Below are 13,201 nucleotides of genomic sequence, written 5' to 3' on the forward strand. Positions count from 1 at the left end.
TAGATGTGCTGAATGGCTGTGTCCTAACAGAGCTGACCACCAGCCAGAAGTCCAGGCCCAGCACCACCCCCACATCTCGGTCTCTGCTCCCTGCGTTGATCCCTGCCATCCACCTGCTCTGCTGCCAATAGAAAGATCTGACAGAAAGTCAGCCCTGTTACTCTTTGCCTAAAACCTTCTGCAGCTCCCATTACCTTCAGGATGTCCCCTAAATTCCTCAGCATGACTTGCAGGCACTTCATGATTGGGAAGGCAGCGGGAGATGAGGGGTGATGGGTAATTCTTTTCATTTTACAGTGTTCTGTAGGTTTGATTTTTTTTTTTTTTCTTTTTTCTTTTTTTTACCATGAGCTAAAGATACTCTTAGCATTGAGAGAGAGAGAAATGTATCTTGTCCCGGTTTCTTTCATCCTTTGTCTGATGGCCAGGAGCTTGTCATGACTCATTTTGTCTAACTTCCCCATCTCACTGCTCTGTCCCCTTGAGGTCAGTCTCCCCTTGCCAAGGAGTGATACTGTCACATCCCCAAATGAATCTTTGCTTTTAATCAGCACTCATTCAAAAGCAGGTGAGAACGGCTCCTGTCATGCATCCACGTTTCATAATTTGCACATTTGGTAATGATGCTGGGAGAGCTTCGCACAGAGGAGAGGGAACCCCGAATTGTGTGCATAAGGCTTTGGGCTTCCTAATGGGCTGTAATTCTGCTCTTGGCAGGACGGCTACGAGCAGCTTAGGCAGCTCTCCCAGCACGCCATGAAGGGGGTCATCCGTGTGAAGTTTGTCAATGACCTCGGGGTGGACGAAGCAGGGATTGATCAAGACGGTGTTTTTAAGGAGTTCTTGGAAGAGATCATCAAGAGAGTTTTTGACCCAGCACTCAATCTGTTCAAGGTATTTAAGGGGAGCAACAGCAGGGCTGACAGCAGCCAGATTCAAGAAGTGAAGAGCTGGGCTTGCTCCTTGCAAGGCACTTGACCTCTGCCTCTCCCCGTCTTTTTGCCTTGCAGACAACCAGTGGGGATGAGAGGCTGTACCCCTCACCCACATCCTACATCCATGAGAATTACCTGCAGCTCTTCGAGTTTGTGGGGAAGATGCTGGGGAAGGCTGTGTATGAGGTAGGAACGTTAAGAAACAGAGAAATGTAAAATAAAATGTTAACGGTACCATGGGCTTCTTCACATACACATATGTGATCAGGCTTGGCCATGTAAACTGTCACTAGGATACAAGCGAGGACAGGGGCAGGAACCAAGGTTTGTTGTACACCAGTGCTAGGTACTTTGCCTGTGGCATCTCATCTCATCCCATCGACAGCCCTGTGACGGGGCTGCCACTGTCCTGGCTATTTAAGGATGGGAGACCTGAAGCTTTGAGGAGTCACCTGTCCAGAGTTTCGTTGCTAGTTAAGTGGTAGAGGTGGAATTTGAACCCAGGCCGGCCCAAGTCCTAAGGCCAGCCCTCTTCTTTCCTGAGGCATGAGGAGTGGTGTGCAGAGCCAGATGGCCACACGGAGGCTGGGTCCCCGTTGTAGGAGGGCAGCATTTTGTGGAGTTTGATAGTTTTAAAATCTTGTGTTGTTTGAGTGAGTGCTTCCCAGCCATGGCAACAGGACAGGACCAGCTGTTCCTAGTCAGCCGTGTGACCATGTGCCTTCAAGTTTCTTTAGTTTTTAAGCCGTGTTCTCGCATCAGTAAAGTGGAGATAAGAAAAGCCACATTCCTGGGTTGCCGTTAATGGTAAGTGAGGAGGGCCTTCTACGGTGCCCAGCCAGCTGCTCACACCAGGTGGATCGGAGCAGTCATCCTCACCTTACTAAGAGGAAGTGAGTCTGGGTTTCCACTCTGTGGCCTGATGGGGTCAGGGTGATGTGGCCCACACAGCTCCTGTCCATTGAAACCCCGTCCATTGAAAGCCAAGGTGGGACCACCTTCAGTGGGAAGTCACCGCCTGTTCCTTGGGAGAGTCCTGTTTCCCAGGAGGAAGGAAAGCTGCAGCACAAGCCCAGCCAGTCTGTGTGGCCTTCGCAGTGGGCTCCAGAGCTGCAGGGACCCTGCCTGGGTCTCAGGCTCTGCTGAGCTTCTGGCCCAAGCACGGAGGAAGCGAGCCACCTGGGCAGCACTCCTCGCATACCCCAGGAACCTGGAGAAGCCAGATGCTTTCCAAACAGAAAGAGCCAGCAGCTGGGCCAAGCTGAGAGGGAGGTCTCAGGGCCAAACTCCTTTCACTCTCGAATAATCCATTGTTCTCTCTGTCTGGAAACAGTCTATGTGCACCGGCCTCAGTCCCTGGCCATGATGGAATCAGGTGGCCCATCTGAGCCCCTGCCCAAACACCATCCAGTCTTCCTTGTGCCCTCCAGTGATTTGGGTCCTGGGCCCATTCTCTGTGCCTCTGTTTCCTCATCTGCATAATAGAAACAATTTCTCAGTTGATTTCCATTGAAAAAGTTAAAAATCCCATTAGGACCCACCCGAGCACATGGCATATGTTTTCCTTTAAACACGTTGCTGTGATGACACTCAGAAGAGCCTGGGCCACCTGGAAAGCATGGCCTCCTGGCTTCTCTGAATGTCATGCCATTTCCCAGGCCTCGCCTCTGTGTCCTTTCCCTCCCTCACCTCTGACAGTAATTGTGCTGACGAGAGAAGATGGGACCTGCTAGGCCCTGCATGAGGAGTGGCATGGATTAACTCATTTACCCCTTACGGTCCTCTGACAGGTGTCATCAAGTCCGAGTGACTGTCCCCTCTCAGCCTCTCCAGTCCACATGTCTCTCTCCACCCTCCTGCCGCTACCCTGGCACAGTCTGTCGGCGTTTTCCCCTGGCAGCATGCCACAGCCGTCTGGCTGTGTCTGCCTCCTGTCTTCCTCTCGCCAGCCCATTCCCCACATAAAAGTGCAGCTCTGTCCCTTCCCTGCTCAGAGCCCTCTGGACAGAATCCAGCCTGCAGCAAGGCTTACGGGCCCTCCCTGACCTGGCCCTGCATCCTCATTGGACATAGCTTCCATTGCTTCCGTGCCCTCCATCCCTGGAGTATGCCTGGGGCCTCGTACCAGTGCCTGGCTGGCTCCTTTAGGCCTCACTTAGCTGGCTTTTCCTCCCGGAAGCTCCCCAACTCTGCCTTTGGGGGAGAGCTTATCCTCTGTGCTCCTCTGGCCCCTGCCAATGCCATGGCTGCCCTGAGAGCTTGGGGGTGCTGGTACTGTGCACGTTCCATCCTCTTAACTGAGAGGCTGGTGCTGCCCCCCACTGACAGGTGAGACAGCTGAGGGCCCCTGGCTTGGCAGCAGCCCAGCTAGGATTTAATCCCTGAGCACTGTAGCTCCAAACCATGTGTCCTGACCACTGCGCTGTCCCCAGGAGGCACTCAGTTGTATTTGGTAGAGGATGGGGAGATACTGCCCTCCGGATTGGAAACTTAGGAGGGGCCTGGAAATGCCGATGGCACCCCTGGGCCATGTCTGCACCCTGAGCCACCCCAATCCAAACACTGCATCAGAATCCTGGCTGATGGACAGCTCTGCTTCTCTGCTCTCCCAGGGAATTGTGGTGGACGTGCCATTTGCATCCTTCTTCCTGAGCCAACTGCTTGGGCACCACCACAGCGTCTTCTATAGCTCGGTGGATGAACTGCCTTCTCTGGACTCCGAGTTCTATAAAAACCTCACCTCCATCAAGGTGAGCATGGAATGGTGGGTGAGCTAAGCCGAGCACTGGTGTGAACTCACAGCTTGCGAAGTCCCAGAAGGAGATGGCCTGTCCTCTCTTATTGCTGTTGCTGTAGCTGCTACAGGCCCCTCACATCCCCCTGTGGGCAGTCCCACTTGGGGCTGATCCTCACAACCTCCTTCCTCAAAGTCACGAATGACTTTCTTTGCGTCAAGCTGTTCAGCAGCCATGGGTGTTCCCAGCACCAAAGCAGCGCCTCAAGGGAGGGTTAAACCTCTTAAGCACATAGTGCTCCATGGCCCTAACACTTTCCCCTTCTCTGTTACATTAGCGCTATGATGGGGACATCACTGACCTGGGCCTGACGCTGTCTTACGACGAGGACGTCATGGGTCAGGTAGGTCCGCCCTTTGGCTGAGCTCCCTTTCCACTGCCCCCATGGGCTCCTGAGACCTGCCGTGTTATTTGTTTTCCTCAGAAAGAGCCCCAAGCTGAGGCTCTGTCTGGTCCCTTGTCCTCCCCACCCCTCGCCCATCCTCCTCCCCTCTTGCCAGGAGGGAGGGCCCCCTCCTTTCCTTCCCAGTTGACCTGGCCTTTGAAGCTTCCCGCAGAGACCCTGCTTTCTTATATCGCATTTTAGGGTAATTCCCCATTTGTAACATGGCTTTTCGTTACCATGGTGAGGATTAGCCGTTACAAATGGAGGATTATGTCTTAGAGAAGGGGAAGATGCCACCTGAGAAGCGCCTCAAGCTCAAGCAGAAGCCTGTCCTTGTTCATTCTCAGCATACAGAGCAGAGCAGGGAGCAGAGACCCTGGTCTCAGGGCCGCAGCACGTCTCCTCCCACGGTTCCTTCTGGCTTTTCTCTGTAGCAGCCTCCGCGCCCTTTGATTGTGTCCTGGTGGAGGTCCCTGCATGAGGCTCTGGGAGTGCAGGTCCAAGGGCCGCTCAGGAGAAACCACGCCATGAGCTTCTTAATGCAGAGCCGACTTATTAGACTCGCGCTTGGGCACCTCAGAACCCCCAGTCTCCCTGAGCCACACTTTCCATATCCATTTGCCAGATGCGAGTCCTGGATGGGCCCAGTCTGTAAGCACCGCTGGGAGCCCTGCGTGGCCTGTCCTCCTGAAAGGCCCCTGGGCAGGCTGGCACGTGAAGGCTCTGAGAAGCCTGTAAGGAGGAAACCAAAGTGGAGCTGAGTTAATCTCAAGCTTCCCTACATCCTGGGACACAGAACTCTTCTTTGAAGGAAGGAAAGAATGCTGTCTCGCAGGATCGTTCTCTACAGAATAGCTCACGGGCAGGGTGTTCCTGGAATCAGGGGAAACCTCAGGCTGGCTGATTCTTAAGGGCCCTTTCAGCTTTAAAACCCACTGGTGCCACCTGAGATGCTGACAGCAGTGGGACTGGGATCAGTGTGTTCCTTTCTAGAGCTGTAGGGTTATAGAATCTTCACAGAATTTCTATTAAAATTGGCTTCAAATGATATGTCCTTTGATTTTTAGGTGATCCACGGAAGTGTTCTTGAAGTTGAAAGAAGCAGTTGATTTTACAGAGTTTAAAATAAATCTATAATCAGATGTTGAGGCTTTATCCTGACATAATTTTTCTCCCGACTATAAAGATAATGAAACTTCTAACAAAAAAAAATTAGCTCTAATATGAGCAAAAGATGAAAAGATAATGAAACTTCTAACAAAAAAAATTAGCTCTAATATGAGCAAAAGATGAAAACGCAAGCTGCCCGTAATGCCAGTGCCCACAGGGTGCCCGTGATAGTGTGTTACCTGCGTCCCTTGAGACTCTTTCCCGAGTCTCCCTTTCCAGAAATGATGCCATTCTGTGCATGTTGTTACATCAGTGGCCTTTTTTCACCTTTTTAGTAAACGCACATTTTCATCATATTGTTTAGTACCTGCACAGTATTCCAGGGTATGGATGTACCAGTGTTTATTTAACCGTCCTACTCTACTCCGAAATGCCAACACATTCCCCTCCATGACATCCCGAAGTCTTAATACAAATGTTTGAACAAGGATTGGGTGAGAAAAAAACCTTTTGTATTGATCATGCAGGGTCTGCTTGTTGATATTTCAGCCTTGACTTTTTATGAGAAAGGATGGTTCCCAAGCATGTGCCATCTTAATTCCATCATTATCATGGATGTTTGTGCTGGGCCCTCTCATCTCCGGGAAGCTTTATTTCCCCATTAGAGTCCTCCCTATTAATTACTCCCATCTTCTCCCCCAGCTTGTTTGCCATGAACTGATTCCTGGAGGGAAGACCATTCCTGTTACAAATGAAAATAAGTGAGTATAGCAATTAGGTTTTTAAGGTCACCACTTGAAAAGACTTCATTCTGGCTCTCTGCGCTTATGTTGAGAATTTATTAAGATAGATTGAAGTAGAAAGAGGCCATAAATATCATAATGGAATTTACTGGTTACAGTTCATAGGCCAGAATTGTATTAAATTCAATTTGCGGCCGGGCACAGTGGCTCATGCCTATAATCCCAGCACTTTGTTAGGCCGAGGCGGGCGGATCACGAGGTCAGGAGTTCGAGACCAGCCTGATCAACATGGTGAAACCCCGTCTCTACTGAAAATACAAAAATTAGCTGGGCGTGGTGGCTCATGCCTGTAATCCCAGCTACTCAGGAGGCTGAGGCAGGAGAATCGCTTGAACCTGGGAGGTGGAGGTTGCAGTGAGCCAAGATCGCACCAGCGCACTCCAGCCTGGGCGACAGAGTGAGACTCCGTCTCAAAAAAAAAAAAAAATTGATTTGCAAAATAAGAATTGACCATTTATTTTTTGCAGTAGCACTTCTAAGGTCAGAGGCACCCAGGCCACGGTGTTCTTAGGAGTTTAATAACGGCCCTAGATGCTGACAGATGGATTCTGAGCCATTCAGCACACTGTCCTGAACCCAGAGGGCACAGAGGTGGAAAGACACCTTGGCGGGGAGGGGCAGATCATTTTGGATGATAGCACGTGGCAGTTGTATAAAACAGTGTTCTTGAGAAGACACCGTGATGAATTCAAATGCCACAGACGGAGGTCCTTAGACATGGGAATTGGAGAGACTCTGAGGCCCAGCAACTATTGTCACAGATAAAGGGCTCTGCAGAATCTATCATAAATGTCATCCTTTTTGGTCCCTAGAAGCAAAACCTCTCAGTGCATGGTCTCCACTCGGCCCTATTGTCACCTAATTAAAACAGTGGAGCCTGGCATGAGAAGCAGACATTGGCCCCCTTGTCAGTTTATCAATCTCCCGCCGCCAGGCTCAGTTGAGCATTTGAACTGTTAATTGGAGCATCAGTCTCTTTAGTGACAAGTGAGGGCTCAGTCCCACCTGGTGAGTCATTTGAATCAGATGCACGTCGCAGTCCAGTGTTCCCAAGCATCATGTTCCTCTCGGATCAGGTGGTTCAGTCAGTCTGCAAGCTTGGGACTTTTTTATTTAGACTGTCAGAAACGTCAGGAGAACAGACCCTGTTTTCATAATGATTGAAATACACCGGCCTTGCTCCTTGGCCACAGGGCATTAGTTTGAAAACTTAGAAGGAACAAAGTGCAGATTGGGAGGGACTGCCTGCAAGAGTAGAGAGGGCCCAGCCAGGGCCAGAGAGAGAGCATGGTGAGTCCTGCCCCTGCCTGCCATGTAACCTGTAGCCATTCCTTTAGGGGGGTGCTTGTAGGGCAATGTGTATAAAATACCTTCCTGGGTGTCAGGCTCAGAGGAGGGCTTAAATGACAGCAGTGATGTTTACCATCCTCAGATGGGTGACGTGTCACATGGATCCTGCCACCCCCTGAGAGGACACGCATTGCCAGGTGTTGCAGCTTGGGGGTGACAGTAGGTAGTCACTCACTCTCCCCACATAGGCACTGGCTGCTAAGTAGAGCGCCCAGAGGAGGTAGGTGGGAGCAGGCTGTGCTGGAGGGAGAGTCCTGTCCTGCTGGGAAACCTCCTATGTGGAAACTTGTTTCACAGATTCTTAGCATTTATAGCATAAAGCCTCAGGTCAGGGTAAGGATACTCAGTTCTGCATACTAACTCAAAAGGCCTAGCAGTGCCAGTTTCTCCCTCTTTAGGGGTGATACTTGATCTTGCACTTTATGAGTGTTGGATGTTTCCCATACTCTCTTCTCTCGTATCTCCCTCTCTCCTTCCCTCCCTCTCACCTCCTCCCTTCCTCTCCCCCTTTCTCAGTAAAGTGGAGCAGTACTCGTCACCTGCTTCAAAGTATACCTGGAAGGAGGAGCAATGATAGGAAAATCGTATTTGTATGTATTAATATACAGGTTTGCTGCTGGAAAATTTTTTTAAATAGGGATATTTTTGAGATTACTAAAGCTTTAGCATTGTAAAACATTTATTTGGACTCTACTGATTTGGAATTGGTGAGAGTCATACGTGGGCCGGGCTCAAGTTCTTTGCTAAGAAATCAGTGATGCAAGGCTGGGTGCGTTGGCTCACACCTGTAATCCCAGCACTTTGGGAGGCCAAGGCAGGTGGATCACCTGAGATCAGGAGTTGAAGACCAGCCTAGTCAACATGGTGAAACTCCGTCTCTACTAAAAATACAAAAATTAGCTGGACATGGTGGCAGGCGCTGTAATGTCAGCTCAGGAGACTGAGGCAGGAAAATCACTTGAACCCAGGAGGCAGAGGTTGCAGTGAGCCGAATCGCGCCATTGCACTCCAGCATGGGCGACAAGAATGAAACTCCATCTCAAAAAAAAAAAGAAAAGAAAAAGAAAAGGCCAGGCGTGGTGGCTCACATCTGTAATCCCAGCACTTTGGGAGGCCGAGACGGGCAGATCACCCGAGGTCAGGAGTTTGAGACCAGACTGGTCCAACATGGTGAACCCCATCTCTACTAGAAATACAAAAAAATTAACTGGGTGTGGTGGTGCATGCCTGTAGTCCCAGCTACTTGGGAGGCTGAGGCAGGAGAATCGCTTGAACCCGGGAGTCAGAGGTCGCAGTGAGCTGAGATCGCACCACTGCACTCCAGCCTGGGTGACGGAGTGAGACTCTGTCTCAAAACATAAATAAATAAAAAGAAAAAAGAAATTAGCGATGCTAGCAAGCCTGTTGGAATGTATGTAACCTGTTGAGAGGATTATATGCTTTATGCAGTTGTAGTTGAGGGCACTGTGTTCATCACAGCAGACCCAGAGACCCTCTGCTTGGAACCATTGTAAGTTGCTCTGACTTCCCAGTTGAGTCCACTCCTAGCCCAGCTGCGTGTTTAAAGCATCTGCAGGTCCGCCTTGCCATAGCATTAGACTGTTGATCCAGATTAGCAAGGTTTTGATTAAAGTTTTGACATGAAACAATTTTTTTCTATTTTAAAACTTATTAGAGGACTGAATGGTATCTTAATTGATTTATGTCCAGAAGAATGAGATTAAATGAAAGTCCAAAAAGCACCCTTTGTACTAAGAAGGGCCCTCTTCTTACGTGGGGAATGTCTCCTTGTGATTCCCGACATAGTGGGGGCTTACCCCGAGGTGTGACCTATGGGTTTTGGGGAGGAGTGAATGATGCAGTGCCCTCAAAGGCTTGATGTGCACACAGTGGCGTATGGTGTGCAGTTCGTGAGTGCTGTCGTCATTGTCGCCATTGTCATTGTTCTGATGAAACACTCTGGTACTATTTGTGTTTTTTGTAAAATGGTTCAGAAATGACTAGACTGTCTTTCAGCCCATTGGTGACAGCCTGCCCCGTCCTGTTAATTGTCATTGTTATCTCTTCCTTGTTGGCAACAGAATTAGCTACATCCATCTGATGGCACATTTTCGAATGCACACTCAAATAAAAAACCAAACAGCTGCCCTCATTAGCGGATTCCGTTCCATTATCAAACCCGAGTGGATCCGAATGTTCTCAACTCCTGAACTGCAGCGTCTCATCTCTGGCGACAATGCTGAGATTGATCTGGAAGATTTAAAGTAAGAGGCGGGTGGGGGGAAGGGTGAAATTCCTTGGCCTCCCAGAAAGCCAGCTGCTCCCTCGCTGGGTTCCTTTTAGAGAGTTGTTTTAGGAGCCTGTCTCCAGATCTCCTTCTCCTCCCTGGACTGGCTAGACTGCTTTGGATTAAAAGCTTGACCACTTGTCTGCCTAGAGATTAAGAAGTGGAAGCAGGCCTGAGGACTGGGGGTTCTCTGAAGCTCTAGGAGATGGGGTCAGAGGATCTGGGGCTGGCCTCTGCTTGGGAACAGCAGGGCCAGCTCTCAAATTCCCCACCCTTTTAGCTTCCCAGGGAGATAGAGTTATTGAGGCATGAACTTCTGGCTTTAAGAGAAATTAGTAGTGTTCCCCAGGCCTGCCAGAGTGGACCGTGCCAGCTGTCTGCATGACCTGCCTGCCTGTCCATAAGTGCCCACGCTAGCACATTGCTGAGCCCAGGTCTGTATTGCTTTCAGGAAGCACACAGTCTACTACGGTGGTTTCCATGGAAGTCACAGAGTCATCATCTGGCTCTGGGATATTCTGGCCTCCGACTTCACACCGGATGAGAGAGCTATGTTTCTGAAGGTATTTTATTTATTACCTATGCATGCATGCATGTATTCTCATAAACCTGGAAGGCCAGTTGATGTAATAATTTACGCTGAAGAAACTGAAATTATCAGGAGGACCTCAGATAGTCAGCACATCCTCTCCCACAGGCAGGCCTCCCGGTAGGCCAAGCAGTAACCAGAGAGGGGCTTGAGGGGCACGGCCGAGCCTGCTGTGTGTCCCTGGCTGCAGGGACAGGCCCCCTGCACAGGTGGGCATACCTGTTGTGCTCGGCACTCCGTCCTCCCCTTTGCCTATGCTGGCCTTGATAACATCTTTTTTCTTTATTTCCTTTCATTATAGAAGTAAATGACCCTCTGCTTGGAACCTTACCTTAGGAAAATACAGATAAGCAAAATATTAAACAATTGCTGTTCCTCCAGTATGGAATTGTCAACTCTCTACACTCCTACTCACCAGGGACTGTCTCTCTATACCCATTTTCTCAATAGCGTAAGACACACATACACACCCACAGTGTCCCAATAAAACACACACAATTGCTTAGGCTGATATCAAGATGTATTTTTGCAAATAAAGTGGCTGACGTTAACTGGTTCCCCAGTTATGGTGTCTGTAAAAGTTGTAAATGTTCAAAATATTCCCCTAATGCCATTGCATTGTTTTTTGTTACTGACATCAGCAGTGTGTAAGTATTTCCTAGGACGCTGAATGGCACACACGCTTCTCTGTGTATGTGTTATATATGTGTATATTTCTCTAAAAATGGGATCCTATCATTTCCCACCAGCCTTCCTACTTGACAGAATATCAATGAACATTTTGCCATGTTCTGGTGGTAAATTTAGTGCCTTGAAATGTTTTCTTTTGGAGGTTTGGGCTTGAACAATCTCATGTGGCCTCATCTGTTGAGGCAACCTGGACAGTGTCACTGGCAATTAAAATGACAGCTGGTTTCCTCTCTCCTGGGTGGTCATTCTGAGGAGAGTTTATTCCTGTTGAAGAGGCCCTCACGCAGTCCAGCAGATAACACAAATGCCCCACATCCCCACAGGTCTCCGGGGATTTAGGATGGGCAGGCAGACAGAATTCCAGAAGTTGATTCTGGGAGAATCAGTTCAGTTTTCCCAGAAGTGCCTCATGGGCAAAGCAGTTTCTGCCAAGCTATAAAACGGCTCACGCTGGCCCCTCCTACAGAGGAAAACCAGTGTCTCATCATTGTGCAGGTGCTGCCCCACAAAACAGGTGTGTTTGTGCCTTTGGATAACCTGTCACCAAACCTACAGTTCCTTACCATGTGCCTGCCCTTTTGTGCAGCTGCATACAGGCCCCAGAGCCAAGCAGAAGAAATGTAACCCTTGCCCAGGAGTGGATGTGACCACGACCATGCTTCTCTTAAATGTAAAGCAAGCAGAGCATCCAGGGGTTTCCTGTGTCCTCCGCCCCTCCCCGCTCGCAGGAGCGGGAAAGCTTCCCTCCCTCCTTTCACCCACCTGAATTTGCAGCGGGCAGACCTGAGCCGGCCTAAATTGGGATGCACAGATACTTCTGTGTCTGTCCCCTTATTCTTAAAACAGGACTAACCACAGCCCCGACACACAGCATCCGTAGAGTGATTGGATGAGGTTGCATTCAGGGAATGCTCGTCACAGTGTGGAAACACAAAAATGCTTCCTGCATTGATGCTGCTATGGTTTTTATAAATAAAACATGTTAGAATAGGAATAGATCTTGTTAATACTCTTTTTAAAACTTTTTTTGATGCCCGACACACATAAACTGTCTTTGGATGGTCTCAGGAATCTCAGAACCATTTATAACAGACCCAAACCCTCAAATTGCCCCTGAGTTTTGGAGGACAGCTTGATGATGTAAGTGACAAGCCCCTGTATCCCCTAGAGAAGGGAGAACATTCTTGGCTACTGTTGAGTTAAAGTGAATGGTTTCTTGGGACACTCCTGTGCAAGTTTATCACTTAGATTTCCAGGCTGGTCAGATGCCTCTCTCCAGGCACGAGCTAGCACATTTGCAGGAATAACGCAGGGGCTGCCGCTTGGAGAACGCCGGGAGTTCCCAGGGGGTAGCAGGGAAGTGTGGCTGGCTGCCCACAGGCCCCACTTGGGCTGCCGGCACCTCAGCCTGCTCTGCAGCCTCACTGGCTCTGGGGCCTCATTTTTGTCAGTGTGCTGAGAGGTTATTAGTCTCTTGCACAGGGTCCCCCGGGGCCCCAGCACATAGACCACTCTAAATCAGCAGGCCCAGGGCTCAGGTGACTGCACCTGTGCAGTCCCCTCTGCATGAATAAGGAGCCGGCAGGATGCCAAGTGCAAGGCCAGTGAGTGCGGGTCTCCCGGGCTCCCTCTGTTCGCACCACGTGCAGTGGGTGCCACCAGCCTCCGCCTCGCCCTCACCGTCTCCCATTTTCTCCTCACATGGTCTCTCTGTGGGAGGGTGTCAGCTGCTGCTCTGTTCCTCTTAACAATCCCACAGGAGACCTGCCTCTCGGGGACGCCTCACCAGTGCCCTGGCTGGGCATTTGTGCTGTTCCTACTCTGCAGTCACACGTGCTCTCACAAGTGGCCAGTCGCACCTATTGGGTATGGGTTTCATGTGTCTTAGTCCCCGAGAGCAGCACCCTTGAGAGAGATGTACGGCGTGTGCCAGTTTTGGGGCCAGATCCACCCCGCCACTCCATACGGCTGGCTAGACAGCAGTTACAACACGGTAACAGACAGAGCAAACACGTGCTACACAGCTGCAAGGGCCCGTCCTGGAAGAGCAGGAGCCTGCCCCGTCCCCACTGACCCTGCTTTGTGTTGCAGTTCGTGACCAGCTGCTCCAGACCCCCGCTCCTGGGATTCGCCTACCTCAAGCCTCCATTCTCCATCCGCTGCGTGGAGGTGTCGGACGATCAGGTACCCCCACGGGGTGGGTGGGGAAGAGCCTTGACTTCCCTCTTGGTGGTTGTCTGCTGTGCCCACTGTGCAA

At 50.2% G+C, this 13,201-nt stretch overlaps 1 protein-coding gene across 17 annotated transcripts in view; it reads left to right on the forward strand.

The window, feature by feature from the left end:
• The window catches only part of UBE3B (ubiquitin protein ligase E3B), a 70,196-nt gene that overhangs the window by 42,797 nt on the left and 14,198 nt on the right, over positions 1-13,201 (forward strand). For all 17 annotated transcript variants that reach the window (XM_011538961.2, XM_047429852.1, XM_047429851.1 and 14 more), the window contains 8 exons: positions 718-894; positions 1,011-1,121; positions 3,548-3,685; positions 4,008-4,073; positions 5,928-5,986; positions 9,460-9,642; positions 10,117-10,228; positions 13,036-13,128. In XM_011538961.2, coding sequence (XP_011537263.1) covers positions 718-894; positions 1,011-1,121; positions 3,548-3,685; positions 4,008-4,073; positions 5,928-5,986; positions 9,460-9,642; positions 10,117-10,228; positions 13,036-13,128 — 939 coding nt within the window. The remainder of the gene's footprint in view (positions 1-717; positions 895-1,010; positions 1,122-3,547; positions 3,686-4,007; positions 4,074-5,927; positions 5,987-9,459; positions 9,643-10,116; positions 10,229-13,035; positions 13,129-13,201) is intronic.

The sequence above is a fragment of the Homo sapiens genome, chromosome 12 (assembly GCF_000001405.40).
Source record: "Homo sapiens chromosome 12, GRCh38.p14 Primary Assembly".
Taxonomy (NCBI): Eukaryota; Metazoa; Chordata; class Mammalia; order Primates; family Hominidae; genus Homo; species Homo sapiens.